This window comes from Homo sapiens, chromosome 18 (assembly GCF_000001405.40).
Source record: "Homo sapiens chromosome 18, GRCh38.p14 Primary Assembly".
Lineage (NCBI taxonomy): Eukaryota > Metazoa > Chordata > Mammalia > Primates > Hominidae > Homo > Homo sapiens.
In genome coordinates, this window is record NC_000018.10 from 26,172,594 (window position 1) to 26,197,652 (window position 25,059).

Consider the following 25,059-nt stretch of genomic DNA (forward strand, 5'->3'; position numbering starts at 1 on the left):
AGAGACCAGTTGAGAAGCCATATGCCACTTGGGGTATCCAATCCATTATTATTTAATAATAAATCAATTTAAAAAGTACAGTTACATTCTCTTAAAAAAAAAAGAAAAGCCTCTGTTGGTCACACATTGCTTCCAACTACCACCTCATTTTGCAGCAAACAGCATGCATTTCGTGATGGTGCCAGTTCCTTATGCCTGCCAAGTGCCATTGGTGGCACAGAGGAAGCAGGTGGATATGATGGGTCTTCTTAATAATAGCTAAGAAACCCTGAACTTGGGGAATCTACCACTTTTGTAATAGGCAGTGAACAAGCTTCTTCTTTTTCTGCAGAAAGACGTGACCTTATTCCTCAGGGTTGTTGGCCACTAATACAGTCCTGAGGAATAGCCCCATCAAGAGTGGTCAAGGCCATGCGTTCTTGGCACACCCAGAAAGAATGTGCACTCTAATTGTGAACAGTGTGATTCTGTTAAAATTTAAGTCAGATCAGGTCACCTCTCTGTTCAAAATCCCCTCTTGCCTCCCAAGTAAGTCAGAGTAAAAACCAAAGCCCTTACAGTGGTCTAACCTTATCTGGCCCCCACCTCAACTCTCCAACCCGAAGCTTATTAACTCCTCCGTTGCTTTCCTACTCAGCCACACTGGCCTCTTTACTGTTCTTCAGAGGCCAGATGTGTACTTTCCTCAGGGCTTTTAACTTTTGTTCTTCCTTATTGTTTCCTCTGCCCAGAGCTTGCATGATATCTGCATGGCTACCATCCTCACCCTCTGAGTGAAGCCCCTCCTAACTGGCCTTTCTAGCACTGTAGCCCATTCTCAATGCTCTTTATTTCCTATCCTGGCTTTACTTCTCTCATAACAACTAATGTACTGTTTATTTTACATATTTCCTTGTTTACCTTGTTTATTATCTATCTCTCCCCCACTAAGCTTTAAGGTCTATGAGTGCAGGGATTTTTGTCTACTTTTTTTTTTTTTTGAGATGGAGTTTTGCTCTTGTTGCCCGGGCTGGAGTGCAATGGCACGATCTGGGCTCACTGCAACCTCCACCCCCCAGGTTCAAGCGATTCTCCTGCCTCAGCCTCCCAAGTAGCTGGGATTACAGGCATGTGCCACCACGCCTGGCTAATTTTGTATTTTTAGTAGAGATGGGGTTTCTTCATGTTGGTCAGGCTGGTCTCAAACTCCTGACCTCAGGTGATCCACCTGCCTCGGCCTCCCAAAGTGCTGGGATTACAAGTGTGAGCCATCACGCCCGGCCTTTTGTCTACTTTTTATACTGTTGACACACTAGTGCTTAGAATTGAACCTTATATACAAGGTGGTCATACGTTATTTAACAAATAAATGAATACTAGATAATAACATAATGCTGTCTACTTGATTCTCAGCTAGAAATATTCTCTCCCTTTGAACTTTTGAAGCATTAGTAATTCTTACAGCTTTTTAAAATTGTTTCATTTCTTCTGTTGACAATTTAGTAAGGGAAGTTTGTGTTTTAAGCATTCAAGTTTCATTTTACAGCAAACACTAATCCTATATTTTAGAGTGAAAACGTAATATTTATAGCATTCGGATCATGAAATGATGCTTCTAAATGCCTACTTTGACTATAATCGTATTTTACTGATTTTTCAAAATAATATTTTATAGACATTTAGTGGCAGGAATTGAATATGTTCTTGCTTATTAGTTCTAAGATATTGGTATTTAAGTGTGTATCTAAGAAGTTGTACACATTTTTTAAAATATTCTTCCTTTCACTTACAATATAGCTTGTAGATTTGTAGGAATGCCAGTCTGGCCATTAGCACTCAAATTTTATATTCAAAACTTTGTTTCAGTTTACTGTGTATTTCTTGAAAAGCTTGCATTTTTAAAGTTTTTAAATAAAATTAGCTCATAAAGAACATTGATGAAAACTGGCATCTAATATGCTGTGCATTGAAGTGGTTACTTAATTTAAAAGCTATTCTATACTATTTTAAGGAGACCCACCTGCATAGACTTAAGCCCCACCCTGATTAATGATGTTAATGATTAAGGGGCATGTTTTGCTCTTGTCAGTATGGGCCATAATGTTTCAAAATGGTAAGAATGTTAACTACGTCGTATACTTCTGAGCAATGTTTCTCAAAATGCATTTCTTTTCATGTTAACAGGTATTAGGTAAACAAGCTCTCTAGCTAAGTAATTTTGTTAGCTATTTAAAGAAATTTAGTAAGTTTTGTTACCAAAGTACATCTGGATCTGCTAAAAAGCATTTAAATCTTCTAGAAGCAGGTAAAATAGTAGTCCCCAAGATTACTTGAACGTAGAGCCCTTTGATCATAAATCCTTTCTCTACTCTGATGTTTTGTGGGATTCACTTTGGAAAATGCTGCCATAAAAACTAAGAACCTCAGGGCTGAAAAGACTTTAAAAGCTGTTTAATATAATCCTCCAATTTATTGTTTCTGACAACACTTGACCAGTTTTGCCTTCTGTTGTTTATACTTCAAAATAATGGAAATTGTGATTTATTTATTGTGAGTAGAGTTTTTTGCTCATTTCCACATCTCTTTTTCTTAGTGTGGGAGAGCTCATTGAAGATTTACTCTGGAAGTTAGCAAGCCTTCAGATGAGAAAAGCTGCTTTGCACTTGTTAGCAGAGACCTTGTCCTTCCTTAGGGTCACATAGCCTCATGGGAAGATTATTATTTTATAAGATATTAGGAAGTGCCATTGGTATCAGCATTTGTTGAAGGGAAGGGATCAGGATGGGGCAGAGGGAGACATTGGGCTGCATTGTAGTCGCAATAAAGGCTTCAGTTGACACCATGGAGTGCTCTGGATCTGTAGTGGCTCATCAGAGCTGTTCTAACTTGGGGTGAAGGGACTGCACATTGATACTCTTCGTCACTGAGTCAGTGTAGGCTGGCCCTGGAAGAGCACATGACCTTACCTGAGGGAGCTCTTGTTAACCAGGGAACCTTCCCAAGGGAGTTAAGAGCTGAGGGCTGTCTGCCATTACCACTTCCAGTAGCCACAGGAATAAGGTTTTTGTTTCTGGAGGTGTATGGGGCAGTATGTCACAGGATGCACTTCCGAGGTCTGTCAAGTGAGATTGTTTTTATCTCCTAACAACAAAGACCTGATGATGCTTAACACTTAAGATTGATTTTTCTCACATAATGAAAAGTCTGAAAGTAGGCAGATGCTGGTATTTGTCTCTTTTAGTCTTAGTCTTTTTCCATGCTCTCAAGATAGCTGCTAGACCTCTAGCCAATATGTCTGCATTCTAGGCAGTAAAGGTTCCTAGGAGCTTCACCCAGTGACTTCCACCTGTGTATACCTATTTGTAAGAGAAGCTAGGAAGTGACATTTTTCAGTAGTCACATTGCCTAGAGTTCTGTCACAAAGGAAGAATGGATATTAGGGTTGTCAGCTAATAGTCTTTGCTGCAGAAAATCATCATTAATCTGAGGAGGCAGGTAGGAAAAGCATTGCAAAACTACCAGTCATTATTGAAGTGGACTGGGGTGGGTGATGGGGCAAGGGAGGGTGGGGATCTGAGTGTGGCAAGAACAGGATAGATTTTAGAAAACAAGTCAGGTGGGTAAGAGTTAAAGATTTTGACATTAAGAATTGGAAGAAGTGGATAGGAAAGTCACCAGAAATGTGCAGGGTGACTTTAAAGGCCCAGTGAAGTTTTTGGATAAACCACTACCTGAAGCCACTAACTATGTACTTCCTCTCTGGGTAGCAACTAGTTACCAAAAAACAAACAAACAAACCTAGTAGCAAATAGATTTCAAAGTCATGCCAGGCTGAAGGCTTTACCTTTGATCTTGGTGAAATTTCAAGGCCACAAAATTTAATTTAGAAGTTTCAACAGCTACTTATATTAATCCTCTGAAATATAATGGCATAGAAAAATTATATAAAGTAAAAATAATCTTTTGCTAACCAGAATAGTATATTGTTATATAATGTAATATAAATGGTGTGTTTTCATGTTTATGTCCTAAAATCTCCTTTGAGATCTCTTTCCCATAATCATAATACTAAACAGTTGGCCAGGCACAGTGGCTCACACCTGTAATCTCAGCACTTTGGGAGGCTGAGGCAGGCAGATCACCTGAAGTCGGGAGTTTGAGACCAGCCTGGCCAACAGGGTGAAACCCCATCTCTACTAAAAATAAAAATATTAGCTGGGCATGGTGGCAGACACCTATAATCCCAGCTACTCGGGAGGCTGAGGCAGGAGAATTGCCTGAGCCCAGGAGGCAGAGGTTGCAGTGAAACGAAATCACGCCATTGCACTCCAGCCTGGGCGACAGAGTGAGACAGTCTCAAAAAAGAAAATAATAATAATAATAATACTAAACAGTTATAACTGAGACATTCCCCCATTTAATGCCAGTGAAAGGATAGACCTTTGTGTTTGTTCTTTTTACTCTGTAATCATCCTAGGAAAGGGGCATGTGGCAGCATAGTGTATCAAGTTAAAAGCTTGGCTTGTTGATTCAGACCACGGTTTCAAAGCTTAGCTCTTCTGCTTACTCTCTGCATGATCTTGGCCAAGATTACTTGAGTCAGTAATTCACCAACAGCTGATTTTGTCCCACCTAAAAGACATTTGACAATGTCTTTGACAAGAGATATGTTTGGTTGTCACAACTGGGGTGGGAGTTGCTGCTGGCATTTAGTTTGTGGAGGCAGCTAAAAATCCCACAATACACAGGACAGCCCTCACAACAGAGGATTAGCTGGCCCAAAATGTGAACAGTGATGATATTGAGAAAGCCTATTTTAACCTTTCCAAACCTCCATTTCTACATCCAAGAATTGGGGTTAGTAACAGTACCTATTTAATCATTTTTGTGATGGTTAGATGAGATAATCCATGTAAAATGCCTAACCTAGTGCCTGACACATAAGTGTTCTGTTAATATAAAATTTAAAATCTTATTACCATCAGGAGTACTAATCTGGATATTTAGGCTGAATTAAAAGAATATGCTGCCTTCTACCCATAGCCATGCAGCCAGGAAAATCCATTTGCATTTTTCCTTCATCTGATGAAAATGTGTAAAGAACAAAGAAAAGAGGAAAGGAATAGAAGCCCTTCTTGCTTAAGAGTCAAAGATGATAACAAATCAATTAGGTTACCACTATACTTATTCTAAAATCTACAAAAATAGTGCTCAGCCCAACTTAGGTAAATAGCTTTCTTCATGTTGATGTCATTTTTTTCCCCTCTCTTTGCTTTCTTCTTTTTGTGCCATATTGTAAAGTTATAGCTCCTTGCCTCTCCACATCTTTTCAAGTTTCAGCTTTTTAAAATCTTTTCTGAGCCAGTCACAGTGGCTCATGCCTGTAATCTCAGCACTTTGGGAGGCCAAGCTGGGAGGATCACATGAGTCCAGGAGTTCGAGACCCACCTGGGCAACATAGCAAGACCCTATCTCTAAAAAAAATTCTTTTTTAAATTAGCCAAGTGTGGTGCCACGTACCAATAGTCCCAGCTACTTGGGAGTCTGAGGTAGGAAGATACCTTGAGCCCAGAAGGCCAAGGCTACAGTGAGCAGTGATCATACCACTGCACTCCAGCCTGGGCCACAAAGTGAGACCCTGTTTCAAAAGAATATATAAATAAAATAATTTCTGGTTATCAAGGATTTGGGAGACATTATATTAATAGAAAGTGTTAGCCAGGACAAAGCATTGGTATATTTAAAAGAAAAAGTTGGCCAGATGTTGTGGCTCACGCCTGTAATCCCAACACTTTGAGAGGCTGAGACAGGAGGCTCACTTGAGGCCAGGAGTTTGAGAACAGCCTGGGCAACATAGCAAGACTACCAAAAAAATAATCAGCTGAGTGTGGTGATGCATACCTGTAGTCCCAGCTACTCAGGAGGTTCAGGTGGGAAAATCACTTAAGCCCAGAAGATCAAAGCTGCAGTGAGCTATAATTGTGCCACTACTGCACTCCAGCCTGGGCAACAGAGTGAGATCCCATCTCTAAAACAAACAAAAAAAGGAAAATAAAAACCATGCCACCATTACAGACTATTCTGATAGTAACCAAATGAGCTACTGAAATGTTTGCTATGTTTTCAAATCTGTAATTTTCATTTGGTAATTTTATTAAGGTATACTGGAGTAAACTCCAAACCTCTAAACTTTACTTAGTAACCATAAATTCATTCCTACTGCAATGATATTAATAAATTAACTTTTATTTTTCAAGGCAAATGCAATAGGCCGAAGTGCTAAAACTGTTCGAGAATTTCTAGAAAAGAATTACACAGAAGATGCCATAGCAAGTGACAGTGAAGCTATCAAGTTAGCAATAAAAGCTTTGCTAGAAGTAAGTGATCTAATAAAGCATATTCAGGAAATCATGAATTTTTTTTCCTCATCCATTTTTGTTTATTAAACACAAAATTTGCTGAAATAATTCTAATAGTGTACTTGTTCTACATTAGGTTGTCCAGTCTGGTGGAAAAAACATTGAACTTGCTATAATAAGAAGAAATCAACCTTTGAAGGTAAGTCATTAACCAAAGAGGAAAAAGTATCTGTAGTATAAAGTATTTTGACAAAAGTTAAAAAGTTGTTGGCCTCTAGGCTTCCGATATAATGTTATCCTTCATTAATGTCAAATAACCTCCACTCATTTCTGACCGTCTACCGGTTTTTTGTTTGTTTTTTGTGTTTTTTTTTTTTTTTTAAATAGAGACGGGATTTCACCACATTGCCCAGGCTGGCCTCTAACTCCTAGAATCAAGCGATCAGCCCGCCTTGGCCTCCAGTGCTGGGATTACAACTGTGAGCCACCGCAGTCGTCCTGTCTACTGATTTTTATGTATTTCCATTACTTTACATTTGAAAGTGCCTTGAGCGTCTTGTGAGACTTAAACTTTAATACGTAGCACGATAACCTTTCCATATTTCTTTGTGGCAAGTCTCATGTTATTATATGTATAACGTCTGTCAGCCGTTATGGGTTAAAACTGCTGGACTACAAAATAAAATGTTCAGGATATTGTGATAGAGGACCCACTGGCTAAAGAGCATTTGAAATGTAGTTCACTATTGTTCATTAGGTAGAACCAACTGTACAACATAGTTTGCCAGCTAGCTCTCTTTAGCTGAGATTGTAAAAAAGCACTCAAAATTTGGGAAACTATATAAGAAATATACTTAAAGGATTGTTTTATACTCAAATATGGCAGTGTACGCCTGTAATCCCAGCTACTCGAGAGACTGAGGTGGGAGGATCACTTGAGGTCAGGAGTTCAAGACCAGCCTTGGCAAGGTAACAAGACCCCCATCTCTATGAAAAAAAAAAATTAAAAATTAAATTAAAAAAAAAAAAAGGATTGTTGCCAGATGCGGTGGCTCACACCTGTAATCCCAGCACTCTGGGAGGCTGAGGCGGATGGATCACTTGAGGTCAGGAGTTCAAGACTAGCCTGGCCAACATAGTGAAACCCCGTCTCTACTAAAAATACAAAAAAAATAGCTGGGCGTGGTGGCAGACGCCTGTGATCCCAGCTGCTTGGAAGGCTGAGGCAGGAGAATCACTTCAACCCGGGAGGCGGAAGTTGCAGTGAGCTGAGATTATGCCAGTGATCTGGGCAACAGACCAAGACTCCATCTCAAAAAAAATTATTTTGAAGATTGTTTTACATATATCTTTTCTTTGGTTTTAAGGAAAATATTTCAAGTAGTGTTAAAATTAGTGCCATCTGGAGCACTGGGGTTTTTTGTTTGTTTGTTTCTGTTTTTGTTTTTGTCATCATGGTTGCTTTGACATCAATTTCCTACCCTTTATTATTCAACTAACAGATGGGATATGAGGATAAGACAGCAGCAAAGTTTCAATAAATAAGAGAAATGGGGACAAGACAGTGGAGCTTGCCCCTGCAGAGCCCCACATAAATTACAGAGTGCTGAGCACAGAGTGTGGAAATGGGTATTATCCAGGTTTTTGTCACCCCTGCTGCTAAGAGCCCAGGGACAGATGCAGCAACACCACAAGGGCACAGAAACCACTGAGGCCAGAGTTTGCCTCTTCTGCTCCATAATATACCTATGCATATAAAAATAGACACACACACACACACACACACACACACACACACAGAGTTATATGCATATTTTTGCTTTTGAGTGATAGAATGGTATGCTTACTGACAGCAGTGTTATACTGTCTTCCACATGATACTTTAGGATAGGCTATGTAGGGAATAGAACACATGCTTTGGAGTTGGTAGACTAGGATTAAGTTCCAGCAGATACATTTGTTTAACAACATGACCTTGAGCAAATTGCTCTCATCTTCAGCTTTCAGTTTTCTTCCCTATAAAATGAGTCTAACGATACCTTCATCAAAGGGCCGTTGTGATAAGTAAATGAAATGGTGTGAGATGGTAGTATCCTTTTATAGTAAGTGCTCGTTAAATGGTGTTTTACAGATTGCAGGTTTGTGGCAACCCTGTGTTGAGCAAGTCTGTCAATTCCATTTGTCCAACAGCATGTGCTTACTTTGTGTCTCTGTCACATTTTTGATAACTCTCAGAATATTTCAGACTTTTTCATTATTATTATTATATGTGTAATATAGTGACAATGTAATTATTATATAACGGTGATCTGTGATCAATGATCTTTGATATTACTGTGCTAATTGTTTTGGAGTGCCATGAACTGCATCCATATAAAAAACACTGAGTGAACTTAATCAATAAATGTTGCATGTGTTCTGACTGCTCCACTGACCAGCTATTTACCTGTGTCTCTCCCTCTCCTCAGGCCTCCTATTGCCTGAGGCATAACAATATTGAAAATAGGCCAATTAATAACCCGATAAGGGCCTCTAAGTGTTCAAGTGAAAGGAAGAGTCTCATGTCTGTCACATGAGTTTTAAATAAAAAAACTAGAATTGTTAAGCTTAGTGAGGAAGGCAGTCAAAAGCCAAGACAGGTGGAAAGCTAGGCCTCTTGTGCAAGTTATTCAAATTGTGAATGCAAAGGAAAAGTACTTAAGAAAATTAAAAGTACTTAAAGAAATTTAAAGTGCTACTGCAAGGGAACACGTGAATGATAAGAAACTGAAACAGCCAGGCCAGGCGTGGTGGCACGCACCTGGCCAACATGGCAAAACCTGTCTCTACTAAAAATACAAAATTTAGCCACGTGTGGTGGCACGCACCTGTAATCCCAGCTACTCGGCAGGCTGAGGCAGGAGAATCGCTTGAACCTGAGAGGCGGAGGTTGCAGTGAGCTGAGATGGCACCACTGCACTCCAGCCTGGGCAACAGAGTGAGACGCCATCTGAAAAAAAAAAAAAAAACCAGTCTTGTTACTGATATGGAGGTTTTAGTGGCCTGGCTGGAAGATCAAACCAGCCACAACATTCCTCTAAGCCAAAGCCTAATCCAGAGCAAAGTCCTAACTTTCTTCAATTCTGTGAAGGCTGAGAGGGGTGAGGAAGCGGAAGAAGAAAAGGCTGGAGCTAACAGAGGTTGGTTCATGAGGTTTAAGGAAAGAAGCCACCTTCATAACATAAAGGTGCAAGGTGAAGCAGCAAGTACTGATGGAGAAGCTGCAGCAAGTTATCCAGAAGATCTAGCTAAGACATTTATCTTCAGTGAAGGTGGTTATACTAAACAACAGATTTTCAATGTAGATGAAACAGCTTTCTGCTGGAAGAAGATACCATCTAAAATTTTCATAGCTAGAGATAGGAGAAATCACCTCACTGCCTGGCTTCAAGGGACGGACTGTCTTGTTAGGGGATAATGCAGCTGGTAACTTTAAGTAGAAGCCAGTGCTCATTTACAATCAATGGATGACAGCACATCTATTTATAGCATAGTATACTGAATATTTTAAGCCCACTACTGAGACCTAACACTCAAAAAAAGAAGATTCCTTTCAAAATGTTACTGCTCATTCACAGTCCACCTAGTCACCCAGTAGCTCCGATGGACATGTACAAGGAAATTAATGTTTTCGTGCCTGCTAACACATCTTTCTGCAGCACATGCATCAAGGCGTAATTTTGACTTTCAAGTCTTATTATTCAAGAAATATGGCCAGGCATAGTGGCTCACACCTATAATCTCAACACTTTGGGAGGCCAAGGCAGAAGAATTGCTAGAGGCTAGAGGTTTGAGATCAGCCTGGGCAACATAGTTAGACTGTGTCTCTACCAACATTGGCTGGGCACGGTAGCTCATGCCTGTAATCCCAGCACTTTGGGAGGCCGGAGGCAGGTGGATCACTTGAGATCAGGAGTTCAAGACCAGCCTGGCCAACATGGTGAAACCCCGTCTCTACCACAAATACAAAAATTAGCTGGGTGTGGTGGGGGGAATCTGTAATCCCAGCTACTTAGGAGGCTGAGGCAGGAGAATTGCTTGAACCCAGGAGTTGGAGGTTGCAATGAGCCAAGATCATGCTATCGCACTCCAGACAGGGCAGCAGAACGAGACTCTGTCTCAAAAAAAACAAACAAAAAGGCCGGGCGTGGTGGCTCATGCTTGTAATCCCAGCACTTTGGGAGGCCAAGGTGGGTGGATTGCTTGAGGTCAGGAGTTTAAGACCAGCCTGATCAATATGGTGAAACCCTGTCTCTACTGAAAATACAAAAATTAGCTGGGCGTGGTGGTGGGCACCTGTAATCCCAGCTACTCAGGAGGCTAAGGCAGGAGAATCGCTTGAACCTGGGAGGCAGAGGTTGCCGTGAGCCAAGATCGCACCATTGCAGTCCAGCCTGGGTGACAGAGCAAGACTCCGTCTAAAAAAAAAAAAATTAACAAACAAACAAAAATATCAACATTAACAGGAGTTTAGAATAAGTTGATTCCAACCCTTATGAATGACTTTCAGGAGTTCAAGACTTTAGTGGAGGAAGTCACTGCAGATGTGGTACAAATAGCAAGAGAACTAAAATTAGAAGTGGAGCCTGAATATGCAACTGAATTGCTGCAATCTTGTGATAAAACAGATGATGAGTTGCTTCTTAAAGATGAGAAAAGAATGTGGTTTCTTGGATGAAATCTACTCCTGGTTATGATGCTGTAAATATTGTTGAAATAACAACAAAACATTTAGAGTGTTACATAAATAAAGCAGTGACAAGGTTTGAGAGGATTGACTCCAGTTCTGAAAAGTTCAATTGTGAGTAAAATGCTATCAAACAGCATCTCATGCTATAGAGAAATCTTTTGGGAAAGGAAGAGTCTATCAATGTGGCAAACCTCATTGTTGTCTTATTTTAAGAAATTCCCACAGCCACTTCAACCTTCAGCAACCACTACCCTGATGAGTCAGCTCCATCATCAAGACAAGACCCCACCAGCAAAAAGATTACTACTTGCTGGAGGCTTACATGATTGTTAGCATTTTTTAGCAATAAAGTGTTTTCAAATTAAGATATGTTGATTTTTTTAGACATAAGGCTATTGCACACTCAATAGACTACAGTATAGTGTAAACATAACTTTAATATGCACTGGGAAACCAAAACATTTATGTGACTCAATATTTGCCTTACTGCTGTGGTCCTGAACCAAATCCACAATTTTTCCAAGGTATGCCTGTATGTGTATTCATAAACAGAGAGAGAATATCAATATGTAGTCTGTTTCAGTCATTTATTCTGGCTTAAAGCAGCTGTATCTTTTTACCTTAGATGAAAAATTTAAAAAGAACGTAAAGAATGTTATGTAAAGCTTGTCATTTTCTACAACTATAAACAAAAAATTTACCTTTCACTGTAATCTTAGGCCACCAAAATATGAGGAGAAGTGAGTTTGTCAGTAGTAATACTAAGCACTCTTTCTCCTTCCTCTATTCCTTCTCACCTGGTTTTTGAAGATCTATTAGAAGTTGTTTTTGGCCGGGCGCGGTGGCTCACGCTTGCAATCTCAGCACTTTGGGAGGCTGAGGCGGGTGGATCACCTGAGGTCAGGGGTTCGAGACCAGCCTGACCAACATAGTGAAACCCCATCTCCACTAAAAATATAAAAAATTAGCCGGGCATGGTGGCATGTGCCTGTAATCCCAGCTACTCAGGAGGCTGAGGCAGGAGAATCACTTGAACTCAGGAAGCAAAGGTTGCGATGTGTCGAGATAGCGCCACTGCACTCCAGCATAGGCGATAGAGCAAGACTCTGTCTCAAAAAAAAAAAAAAAAAAAGTTGTTTTTGGCAGCCGGGCACAGTGGCTCATGCATGTAATCCCAGTACTTTGGGAGGCCAAGGCGGGTGGATCACCTGAGGTTAGGAGTTTGAGACCAGCCTAGCCATCATGGTAAAACCCTATCTCTACTAAAAATACAAAAAATTAGCCAGGGGTGGTGGCTGGCGCCTGTAATTTCAGCTATTCAGGGGGCTGAGGCAGGAGAATCGCTTGAACCGGGAGACAGAGGTTACAGTGAGCCAAGATAATGCCATTGCACTCCAGCCTGGGCAACAAGAGCGAAACTCCATCTCAAAAAAAAAAAAAAAAAAAAAGTTGTTTTTGGCAGACATTTGAAAATTGTTTCTACTGAAAATGAAAATTCTCCTTGGAAAAAAATTAGTTCCCATTGACCTGAGGAGAAATTAAGCAGAGGTTAATGTGTTAGAACAAATGCTTTTGTCTATAAGTTAAAACAAAAAAACTCCAACTCATAGTGACTTAAAGAACAAGAAATCGTTTTTTCTCACAGATGAAAGTATAAACCTGCTCCAGACACAGTGTGTTTAACAACACAACGATGTTCTCATGTATCTAGATTTTTCCTGTCCCTCCACTCTGCAACTTTGAATATTGGCTTCATCCTAAAGTTAGTGTGTTCTAGTAAGGTTGATTCCTCTCATGACCACCAGAGGCAATCAGAATGATTTATTTTCCTGTTAACCTTTTATAGGAGAGGGAGAACTTCCCTAACTCTGGAATGTAAGTCCTTCCCTTCAATCTGATTGGAAGACTGAAGACATCCTTAGAACAGTCTCTAGAAGATTCTGTTTGCTGGTTGGCTAATGTTAAGCACTGATATAGAATGGATGTTTGGGGAATCAACCATAATGTATTCTCTAGGAAGTTTTTCAAATGTCTTCAGAGTCTGAAATTGCTTAATTGAAAATTATTTTAAAATAGACTTGCGTCTGGTTTTAAACCAGTTTTGCCAAATTTCAATGTATATAGAAATAGTTTCAATTTTGTTTCTTTACAGAGTTTTAATTTGTGGATCTTGAATAACTTATTTGTTTTCATTTTTAATGGACTCCACATGAAAATATTACAAATCCTATTGCATTCTCAATTTTGATAAATCTTTGTGTGGGATACAGTTCAGTGAAGTGATCAAAAATGGAGCTCTGGATGGGCATGGTGGCTCATGCCTGTAATCCCAGCCCTTTGGGAGACCGAGTGGGTGGATCACGAGGTCAGGAGTTCAAGATCAGCCTGGCCAACATAGTGAAACCCCGTCTCTACTAAAAATACACACACAAAAAAAAATTAGCTGGGTGTGTTGGAGGGCACCTGTAGTCCCAGCTACTTGGGAGGCTGAGGCAGGAGAATCACTTGAACCTGGGAGGCAGAGGTTGCAGTGAGCTGAGATCACGCCACTGCACTCTAGCCTGGGCAACACAGGGAGACTCTGTCTCAAAAAAAAAAAAAAAAAAAAAAAAAAAAACGCAAAGTGAGGCTCTAGAGCTACCCTAGTTCAAATTCCAGCTCTACCATTTCCCAGTGTAAACAAATTACTTCTCTGTTTCTGTTTTCTTATCTGTGGATTAATAGCCTTTCCACATATGGTTATGATGAGTACTGTATTATTAAATTAGAAAAACACATAAGATATAAGAAATTTACTGAGTAGTGTAAACCTTTATTATTTGATGCCTCTACCCCTTATTCTTAAGCTGATTTTAGAGGTGGACTGGTTTTCTAGTTATTCTCTGACCTATCCTTGGCAATTCCAGTTGTATCTAAGTTACTAAGAAGTAAATAGTATTTACTAAATATGAAAAACATAAAATCTCTTAATTTTACATATGTACTTCTTAAATCACTGACTATGTGCTGAAATTTTAACACTTTGACAGGAAATAGCTTGACTTAAGGTATATAAGTAGACTTCTACAACTTCAGTTTCTGGCATTATGCTGGATTAGATAATATAAAAACTCTTCTGCTGTAAAACATGAGGACAATTCTAGATGAAATATAACTAGTTTTTTAAAGACATAGCTGAGCTTCTGCAAGAACTAAAAGAAAATCCCCAGGAACCAAAAATGAATACTACACTGAAAGCCAGAGGTAAACATTTGGATTAAACTGCCCTGGAGAAGGATACTTGTCTCCCTAGCCTAGGAAGTTAGATATAAACACCTACTTGGGGCCAGGAATCAGTAGAAAGGTAGAACTTAAAACATTTTCTCATTTAATGCCAGGATTCTTCCATGAAAGGATGGACCAGGCTGGGCACCGTGGTTCATGCCTGTAATCCCAGCACTTTGGGAGGCCAAGGCGGCCAGATCACCTGAGGTCAGCAGTTTGAGATTAGCCTGGCCAACATGGTGAAAACCCATCTCTACTAAAAATACAAAAAATTAGCCGGGTGTGATGGTGTGCGCCTGTTGTCCCAGCTACTCAGGGGGCTGAGGCAGGAGAATCACTTGAGCCTAGGGTGGCAGAGGTCGTAGTGAGCTGAGATCATGCCACTGCACTCCAGCCTGGGCGACAGAGCAAGAGTCTGCTTCAAAAAAAGTGAGGTCTGAGCAGTGGCTCACACCTGTAATACCAGCATTTGGGGAGACTGAGGCAGGAGGATAAGTTCTTACTTATCAATAATAACATTGAATGTAAGTGGACTAAACTCTCCAATCAAAAGATATAGAATGACTGAATGGATTTAAAAAAAAAGACCCAATGATCTGTTGACTACGAAAAACATACTTCACCTATAAAGACAAACATAGACTGAAAAAAAGAGATGGAAAAAGATATTTCATGCCAATAGAAACCAAAAAAGAGCCAGAGTCACTATACTTATATCAGACAAAATAGATTTCAAGGCAAAAACTATAAGAAGAGACAAAAAAGGTCACTATATAATGATAAAGGGGTCAGTTCAGCAAGAAGATATAACAGTCTTAAATATATATGCACCCAACACTGTAGAACCTAGATATGTAAAGTAAACATTATTAGAGCTAAAAAAAACCAGATAGATTCCAATACAATAATAGCTAGAGTCTTCAACACCCCATTTTCAGCATTGGACAGATCTTCCAGACAGAAAATCAGCAAAGAAACATCAGACTTAAACTGCACTGTAGACCAAATGTATCTAATAGATATTTACAGAACATTTCATCCAACAGCTGCAGAATATGCATTATTCTCCTCAGCATATGGACCATTTTCAAGGATAGACCATATTTAGGTCACAAAATAAGCCTTAAAATATTCAAAAAATTGAAATAATATCAAGCATCATCTCTGACCACAGTGGAAAAAAAAAACTAGAAATCAGTAACTAGAGGAATTTTGGAAACTATACGAATACATGGAAATTAAACAATATGCTCCTGAATGACCAGTGAGTCAATGAAGAAATTAAGAAAAAAATTGAAAATTTTCTTGAAACAAGTGATAATGAAAACCTAACATATCAAAACATATGGAATACAGTGAAAGCATTACAAAGAAGGAGGTTTATAGCTATAAGTGCCCACATCAAAAAAGGACACCAAAAAAAAAAAAAATAGAAAGGTGTTCCATGTTCATGGATTGGAAGAATCAATGTTTTTAAAATGTCCATACTACCCAAAGTAATCTACAGATTCAATGCAATCCCTGCCAAAATACCAATGATATTCTTCACAGAAATATAAAAAAAAATCATAAAATCTATATAAAAACCTCAAAAGACCCAGAAGAGCCAAAGCTGCCCTAAGCAAAAAGGACAAAACTGAAGGAATCATATTGCCTGACTTCAAATTATGCTACAGAGCTATGGTAACCAAAGCAGCATGGTTCTGGCATAAAGACAGACACATAGATTAATTAAACAAAATGGAGATCCCAGAAACAAATCCACATATATATAGTGAACTCATTTTCGACAGAGGTGCTAAGAACATACACTGGGAAAAAGTTTCTTCAATAAAGGATGCTGGGAAAACTGGATATCCATATGCAGAAGAATGAAACTAAACCCCTATCTCTCACCATATATAAAAAATCAAAAAAGAATAGATTAAAGACTTAAGCCTGTGACCTCAATCTATAAAACTACTACAAAAACATTGGAGAAAATCCCCAGGACATTGGTCTGCGCAAAATATTCTTGAGTAGTACCCTACAAACACAGGCAACCAAAGCAAAAATGGACAAATAGGATCACATCAAGTTAAAGAACTTCTGCACAGCAAAGGAAACAATCAACAAAGTGAGGTGACAGCCCACAGAATGGGAGAAAATATTTGCAAATTTACCCTTCTGACAAGGGTTTAATAACCAGAATGTATAAGGAGCTCAGACAACTCTATAAGAGAAAAAACAATAATCTGATCAAAAAATGGGTGAAGGATTTGAATTTGTATGTCTTCTTTTCTCAAAAGAAGACATACAAATGGCAAACAGGCATATAAAAAGGTGCTTGGGCTGAGCTCTTGCTTGTAATCCCAGCACTTTGGGAGGCCAAGGCGGGAGGATCACTTGAGCCTAGGAGTTTCAGACCAGCCTGGACAACACAGTGAGACCTTGTCTCTACAAATATAATAATTTAAAAATTAGCCTGATGTGGTGGTGTGCTCCTGTGGTCCCAGCTACTTGGGAAGCTGAGGTGGGAGGATCACTTGAACCTGGGAGGTCAAGGCTGCAGTGAGCCATGATTGTGCCACTGTACTCCATCCTGGGCAACAGAGCAAGACCCCATCTCCAAAAAAAAGGTGATCAACATCATTGATCATCAGAGAAATGCAAATCAAAACTACAATAAAATATCATCTCACCCCAGTTAAAATGGCTTATATCTAATAGACAAGCTACAGCAAATGCTGGTGAGGATATGGAGAAAAGGGAACCCTCATACACTGTTGGTGGGAATGTAAATTAGTACAACCACCATGAAGAATAGTTTGGAGATTCCTCAAAAAACATAAAATAAAAGTACATATGGTCCAGCAATCCCACTACTGGGTGTATACCCAAAAGAAAGGAAATCAGTATATTGAAGAAATAGCTGCACTCCCATGTTAATTGCAGAACTGTTCACAATAGCCAAGATTTGGAAGCAACCTTAGGGTCCATCAACAGATGAATGTACGAAGACAATGTGATACTTACACACAATGAAGTACTGTTCTGCCCCCAAAAAAATAATGAGATACTGTCATTTGTAATAACATGGATGGAACTGGAGATCATTATGTTAAATAAGGCAGGCATGGAAAGACAGACATTGCATGTTTTTACTCATTTGTGGAATCTAAAAATCAAAACAATTGAACTCATGGAGATACAGAGTAGAAGGATGGTTACTAGAGGCTGGGAAGGGTAGTGGGGGGCAGGGGCAGGTGGGGATGGTTAATAGGTACAAAAAAATAGAATTTATAAGACCTAGTATTTGATAACACAACAGGGTAACTATAGTCAATAACAATTTAATTGTACATTTTAAGATAACTAAAAGAGTATAATTGGATTTTTTGTAACACAAAGGATAAATGCTTGAGGGGATGGATACCCCATTCTCCATGATGTGGTTATTATGCATCACATGCCTGTATCAAAATATCTCATGTACCCCATAATATATATACCTACTATGTACTCATAAAAATTAAAAATAATTTTTTGAAAAGGCTTCTTGAGGCTGGGCGCAGTGGCTCATGCCTGTAATCCCAGCATTTTGGGAGGCCGAGACAGGCAAATCGATTGAGCCCAGGAGTTTGAGACCAGCCTGGGCAACATGGCGAAACCCCGTCTCTACAAAAAATACAAAAGTTAGCTGGGCATGGTGGTTCACATCTGTAGCCCCAGCTACTCCGGTTGCTGAGGCGGTAGGATGGCTTGAGCCCAGGAGGCAGAGGTTGCAGTGAGCTGTGATCATGCCGCTGTGCTTCAGCTGTAGGCAGCAGAGCAAGACCCGGTCTCAAAAAGGAAAAAGAAAGTGAAAGACACTTTTTCAAAGGAGGAAATTATTTCTTCCCCAAGTAATACCACATCACTTTATTCAGGTTTGTATTGTAATGATCTATTTATATGCCAGTTTTTTTCCACTAAACTGTGGACTCCTTAATAGCAGGTAAGAATTATATTCTTCCACTTTCAGAGCCCATGGAACTCCTAGTAATTGCTTGATGGGTAAATTCATTTCATAAAACGTTCAAATAATATATTTTATGTAGATTATTGACAAATACAGATTTTGTGACACACATCTTTATAGGTGAAATGGAAAGAGTTCTGGAGTTGAAATAAGAATCAGAGACCTAATCTTTAATCCTTCTTTAATCTTTGGCCAAATATAATTTAGCTTTGTGAATCTATGTTTTCTTATATGTAAATTCTAGTGATGGACTAATAGCTAAAATCCTTTACATCTCTAATATCTTTGAAAATTTGCCTTTCCATAAAGTTGATCATTCATTTATCAATTTAATAGATACCTCTTTTCAGTATTAAGATCATTATATTTAGATTTTTGTATATAAATGTATTAACTTCACTGAAGTTAATAATTGCTGTCTTGGCCAGGCACGGTGGCTCAGGCCTGTAATCCCAGCACTTTGGGAGGCTGAGGCGGGCAGATCACTTGAGGTCAGGAGTTCAAGACCAGCCTGGCCAACATGGCAAAACCCTGTCTGTACTGAAAATGCAAATCTCTCTACTAAAAATAACAAAAATCAGTCAGGCGTGGTAGCACACACCTGTAGTCCCAGCTACTGAGGAGACTGAGGTGGGAGAATCGCTTGAACCCGGCAGCAGAGGTTGCAATCACATCACTGCAGTCCAGCCTGGGCGACAGGGTGAGACCCTGTCTGAAAAAAAAAGAAAAAGAAAATGGCAGCCTGGTCTCGAACCCCTGACCTCAACTGATCCACCCACCTCGGCCTCCCAAAGTGCTGGGATTACAGGCCTGAGTCACCAGGTTTGGCCAATAATTGCTGTCTTATAGCCGCAAGCATGTAACCTTGGATCTACTTGTGAACAGTACAACAGAAAATCAAACTACACTGCAAATTCTTAGAAAAATAAAACCTTTTTTGCTTTCTACTTAGACATAAAGTAGCATAAATTATCTTTTCCCATTTCATTTCGCTATTCTATAAACTGATCAAATTATTAAACCCTATCAGAGAATCACACAGTAGGGTGCAGTTGGGAGAGTTAAATAATGAGTCTTTGTTCATGAATAAAATTAAGCCTCGCATTAAAATGTTTTTGGAGTTATATGCACATATAGGATATATAACGCAATATCACCTTTTGTCCTGCTTTCTTTTTTAGCACAGTGATAGTAGAAATGTCAGAGATCTGGTTTTGCCCATAATTGTTATTGCTCTTAGACCTCTTGAAATGCTTCATTGTATATTTGAAGTTACAAAATATAAAGTTGTACATAGAAAGTATAAATTTATTAAATATTGGAATTCTTCATATTGTATTTACATATTATTCGTATAACTGACATTTGATCTTTAAATTTTTTTCTCTTTTCAGATGTTTAGTGCAAAAGAAGTTGAATTATATGTAACTGAAATAGAAAAGGAAAAGGAAGAAGCAGAGAAGAAAAAATCAAAGAAATCTGTCTAATTCTTAGGATGACCACTGGGAGGTCTTAATGTTTTGTTTTATTGTACTGCCTGAGGTTGTTTAGTGAAATTTTAGAGGAAAACAGTTATTTTGCAGCATTACATGCAGTACTTGTGTGATGTTTTGAGAATGCCAGATCTGTGGCTGTCTTCATTCTATTACATAGTCAAACATAGGTTTATGTGAAGATTTTCTTTGAAAGGGGATTTCAGTAATTGTTGAGAGCAGTCATAATTCCACATAAGCCTGAGACTCTATAATTTGTCCAGTGTCTTACTTACCTTCATATATGCAAATATAATTTTAAAAAATTTTTTAATTAAAAAAATTTAATAATTTGGTGATGTTTGAATATTGACTGTCAGTTAAGGACATAGCTATTCCAAATAAACTAAATATAATATTGAGCTGCATTTCTCAAAGAATGACAAAAGCATCCTTATACTGATGAGTTCTTAAAATTTTGTCAGAGCCTTCTTCATTTTACAATATTTTGTTATTTTTATTTTACCTTTTTCATTTTACAATATTTCGTTATTTTTATTTTACCTTTTTCATTTTACAAGTTGCAATATATTGTTTCGTTCATGGAACAAATATAGGCTGAATTCAAACATGCAATTAAAGCATGGGAAGAGCTTCTAAGGGCATCTTAACAGGATGCTACATGAAAATAAGGAAAGAAATTAATACATATCACTTTTAGTTTAGATTTTTATTTTATCTCAAGTATGTCCAGTGTGTTCGGTTTGTTACATATTCCATGAAATATCTGAGTGTGTATTTTATGATTGGTATTATGGAAGGCTTATTGGGGGAACAAGAAAAATATAAAAAGTGATCTCTGCCCACGGAAAGGATTTAATCCAAATGGTCCACAAGAGGAATGTGCTTAATTCCTACAGTGAGTTTATATTTTTGAAAATAAAAGCTAGTAAATATTCTTTCTGTTGTTTTAATTAATTGTTTATTTATTTCAGAGATGAGGTCTCACTATGTTGCCCAGGCTGGTCTCAAACTCCTGGCTTCAAGCAATCCTCCCACCTCCACCACCCAAAGTGCTGGGATTACAGGCTGAGCCACTGCACCTGGTCTTAATGTTCTTTTTTGAAAACGAGGGGAGAGGTTCAGTTTTTGCAGAGGAATGAAAATAGTAGGGGAAGGCCAGGCGTGGTGGCTCATGCCTGTAATCCCAGCACTTTGGGAGGCTGAGATGGGCGGACCACTTGAGGCCAGGAGTTCGGAACCAGCTGGCCAACATGGCGAAACCCCGAGTGGGGTGGGGTTGGTTTTGGGATGAAACTGTTCCACCTCAGATCATCAGGCATTCGAGTCTCGTAAGGAGCCCACAATCCCTTGCATGTGCAGTTTACAGCAGGTTTCACACTCCGATGAGAATCTTTTTTTTTTTTTTGAGACGAGTCTCGCTGTGTCACCCAGGCTGGAGTGCAGTGGCGCAATCTCGCTCCCTGCAACCTCCGCCTCTCAGGTTCAAGTGATTCTCCTGCCATAGCCTCTCAAGCAGCTGGAACTACAGGCATGTGCTATCACGACCAGCTAATTTTTGTATTTTTAGTAGAGTCGGGGTTTCGCCATGTTGGCCAGGCTGGTCTTGAACTCCTGGCCTCAGGTGACCACCTGCCTCGGCCTCCCAAAGTGCTGGGATTACAGGCGTGAGCCACCGTGCCCGGCCTCCTATGAGAATTGTTACTGCCGCCACTGATCTCACAGGTGACAGAGCTCATGTGGTAATGCTCGCTCCCCCCACCCCCCTACTCACCTCCTCCTGTGCAGCCGGGTTCCTAACAGGCCACAAGCCAGTACTGATCCACGGCCCTGGGGTTGGGGACCCCCGATCTAAGGGATATGGTTGTAATTCCATCCCTTATTTTTTTACTTGACAAGTACTCATACAATACCACAGTCACTGCATGCCAGACACTGTTTAGATTACTTGCAAATATTAACATTTAATTATCTTAACAACTCTGAGACAAGTTTTATAATGTATGCCCATGGTGCTGATGCTTATAGTGCTTTGCCACCACAAGTGTCCATCAGAATGGAAACATTTCTCATTGCTCACCAATCTCTCCCTCACAAGGATGTATCATGAGAGGCAAGAGGTTTTTTTGAATCTCACTAGCTTTATTACTCCTGTGACTCAGTTCTTCTTAGTTATCAGAGTCTAATTGGTTTTAGCTCAACTGATTTATTCTACTTTGGAAATCATAGCATTATTTTGGTCAGGTTTCACTGATCCATACAAAACGATTTTCTATTTAATGTGAAGTTCTTTTGTTTGTTTGGTTTTTTGTTTGTTTGTTTTTAGATGAGGCCTCTGTCACCCAGGCTGGAGTAGTGATGCCACCTTGGCTCACTGCAACTTCTGCCTCCCAGGTTCAAGCAATCCTCCCACCTCAGGCTCCTGAGTAGCTGGGACTACAGCTGCTCGCCACCACACCCTGTTAATTTTTTGTATTTTTTAGCAGAGACAGGGTTTTACCATGTTGCACAGGCTGGACTCGAACTCCTGAAGTCAAGAGATACATACACCCAACTCGGCCTCCCAAAGTGCTGGGATTACAGGCATGAGCCACTGTGACCAGCCCTAATGTGAAGTTTGAACCAAAAAAAATTCAAACGTTATTGCTATTTAAAATGTTACTTTGGCTGGGCGTGGTGGCTCACGCCTATAATCCCAGCATTTTGGGAGGCCAAGGCGGGTGGATCACCTGATGTCAGGAGTTCGCAACCAGCCTGACAAACATGGTGAAACCCTGTCTCTACTAAAAATACAAAAAAAAAAATTAGCCTTGGCCGGGTGCAGTGGCTCATGCCTGTAATCCCAGCACTTTGGGAGGCCGAGGCGGGTGGATCACCTGAGGTCAGGAGTTCGAGACCAGCCTGACCAATATGGAGAAACCCCTTCTCTACTGTCTCTACTAAAAATACAAAATTAGCTGGGCGTAGTGGCACAAACCTGTAATCCCAGCTACTAGGGAGGGTGAGGCAGGAGAATCGCTTGAACCTGGGAGGCGGAGGTTGCAGTGAGCCAAGATCGTGCCATTGCACTCCAGCCTGGGCAACAAGAGTGAAACTCCGTCTCAAAAAAAAAAAAAAAAAAAAAAGCCAGACCTGGTGGCGCATGCCTGTAATCCCAGCTACTCAGGAGGCTGAGGCAGGAGAATCGCTTGAACCCAGGAGGCAGAGGTGGCAGTGAGCTGAGATTGCACCACTGCACTCCAGTCTGGGCAATGAGAGAAACTCCATCTCAAAAAAAAAAAAAAGTTACTTTTACTGGCCAGGCAAAGTGGCTCATGCCTATAATCCCAGCACTTTGAGAGGCCGAGGTGGGCGGATCGCTTGAGGTCAGGAGTTCAAGACCAGCCTGACCAACATGGCGAAACCTCATCTCTACTAAAAATACAAAAAAATCAGCCAGGCATGGTGGTGCACGCCTGTAGTCCCAGCTACTCAGGAAGCTGAGGCAGGAGAATTGCTTGAACACAGGAGGCGGAGGTTGCAATGAACCGAGATTGAGCCGCTGCACTACAGCCTGGGTGACAAAGTGAGACTCTGTCTCAAAAAAATAAAATAAAATAAGATAGGGTGCAGTGGCTCACACCTGTAATCCAGCACTTTGGGAGACTGAGACAGGTGGATCATCGGAGGTCAGGAGTTCAAGACCAGCCTGGCCAACATGGTGAAACCCCATCTCTACTAAAAATTCAAAAAATTAGCTGGGCACGGTGGCGGGTGCCTGTAATCCCAGCTACTCGGGAGGCTGAGGCAGGATAATTGCTTGAACCCGGGAGGCAGAGGTTGCAGTGAGCCAAGATTGTGCCACTGCACTCCAGCCTGGGCGACAGAGTGAGACTCTGTCTCAAAAATAAATTAATTAATTAAATGAAATGTTACTTTTATTTTATTGAGAGAAAAAAACCCCAATATTCAAGTGCTTTATGTTTTTTCTCTCTCATGTCACCACGGTGAGATGATCACAAATACTTGATTTTAGGAATTACCTAAACAACTTATCTTTCCAGCATTAGATTACGGTTAAGTGGGTAGACAGAAAAATCTGTCACTATAGGTATGGAAATGCTGGATAACATCTAACAAATATGCTTTTAAATGCATAGGTAAGGCCAGGTGCAGTGGCTCACACCTGTAATCCCAGCACTTTGGGAGGCCAAGGCAAGAGGATCGCTTGAGGCCAGGAGTTTGGGACCAGCCTGGGCAACATGGTGAGACTCCCATCTGCACAAAAAATTTAAAAATTAGCTGGGTGTGGTGGTGCACATCTGTAGCTCCAGCTACTTAGCAGGCTGAGACAGGAGGATCACTTGAGCCCAGGAAGTGGCTGCAGTGAGCCATGATCCTGCCACTATACTCCAGTTCTGGGCAACAGAGAGACACCCTGTCTCAAAAAAATTGTAAATACATACAGATGTACATACATATATATGTACATAAGTAAACTCACAAGAAGGGATGGGAAATCCGGGACTGAAAACAGAAAGTTATGAAAATCAGAGAAGCAGCTGAGCAGATGCTGGTTCTGCTGTGTATACGGTTGTGTTGGCACAGGGAATAAGCATAATAGAGACTAGAAACACCCAGACGCTTACTGGATACTTGGTTTATGGCAGTTAGCATTGCATCAATGGGCAAAGGATAAGCTCTTCAATACACAATGATAGGACGACTGGTTATTCATTTGAAAAGAAAGAAAATTGAACCTCTGGCCAGGTGCAGTGGCTCATGCCTATAATCCCAGCACTTTAGGAGGCGTAGGCGGGCGGATCACCTGAGGTCAGGAGTTCGAGACCAGCCTGACCAACATGGCGAAACCCCATCTCTACTAAAACTACAAAAATTGGCTGGGCTTGGTGGCAGGTGCTTGTAATCCAGCTACTCGGAAGGCTGAGGCAGGGGAATCGCTTGAACTTGGGAGGCGGAGGTTGCAGTGAGCCGAGATGGCGCCATTGCACTCCAGCCTGGGCGACAGAGTGAGACCGTCTCAAAAAAAAGAAAGAAAGAAAGAAAGAAAAGGGCCGGGCGCGGTGGCTGATGCATGTAATCCCAGCACTTTGGGAGACCGAGGCGGGCAGATCATGAGGTCAGGAGATCGAGACCATCCTGGCTAACGCGGTGAAACCCCGTCTCTACTAAAAATACGAAAAATTTAGCTGGGCGTGGTGGCGGGCGCCTGTAGTCCCAGGTATTTGGGGGGCT

The 25,059-nt window shown here is 40.3% G+C and overlaps 1 protein-coding gene across 5 annotated transcripts in view, besides 2 other annotated features; it reads left to right on the top strand.

Annotated features, from left to right (window-relative positions):
• The window catches only part of PSMA8 (proteasome 20S subunit alpha 8), a 59,487-nt gene extending 38,725 nt beyond the window's left edge, over positions 1 to 20,762 (top strand). For all 5 annotated transcript variants that reach the window (XM_011525818.2, NM_001308188.2, NM_144662.3 and 2 more), the window contains 3 exons: positions 6,237 to 6,356; positions 6,475 to 6,537; positions 19,726 to 20,762. In XM_011525818.2, the coding sequence (XP_011524120.1) occupies positions 6,237 to 6,356; positions 6,475 to 6,537; positions 19,726 to 19,818 (276 nt within the window). In that variant the 3' untranslated portion in view covers positions 19,819 to 20,762. The remainder of the gene's footprint in view (positions 1 to 6,236; positions 6,357 to 6,474; positions 6,538 to 19,725) is intronic.
• Positions 18,165 to 18,274: an enhancer, noted in NCBI's record as "active region_13179". NCBI's record gives its function as "activates an Ori minimal core promoter by ATAC-STARR-seq in GM12878 lymphoblastoid cells {active_cell/tissue: GM12878}" and the evidence as "EXISTENCE:reporter gene assay evidence [ECO:0000049][PMID:35858748]".
• Positions 18,983 to 19,062: an enhancer, noted in NCBI's record as "active region_13180". NCBI's record gives its function as "activates an Ori minimal core promoter by ATAC-STARR-seq in GM12878 lymphoblastoid cells {active_cell/tissue: GM12878}" and the evidence as "EXISTENCE:reporter gene assay evidence [ECO:0000049][PMID:35858748]".
• Positions 20,763 to 25,059: the final 4,297 nt, after the last annotated feature.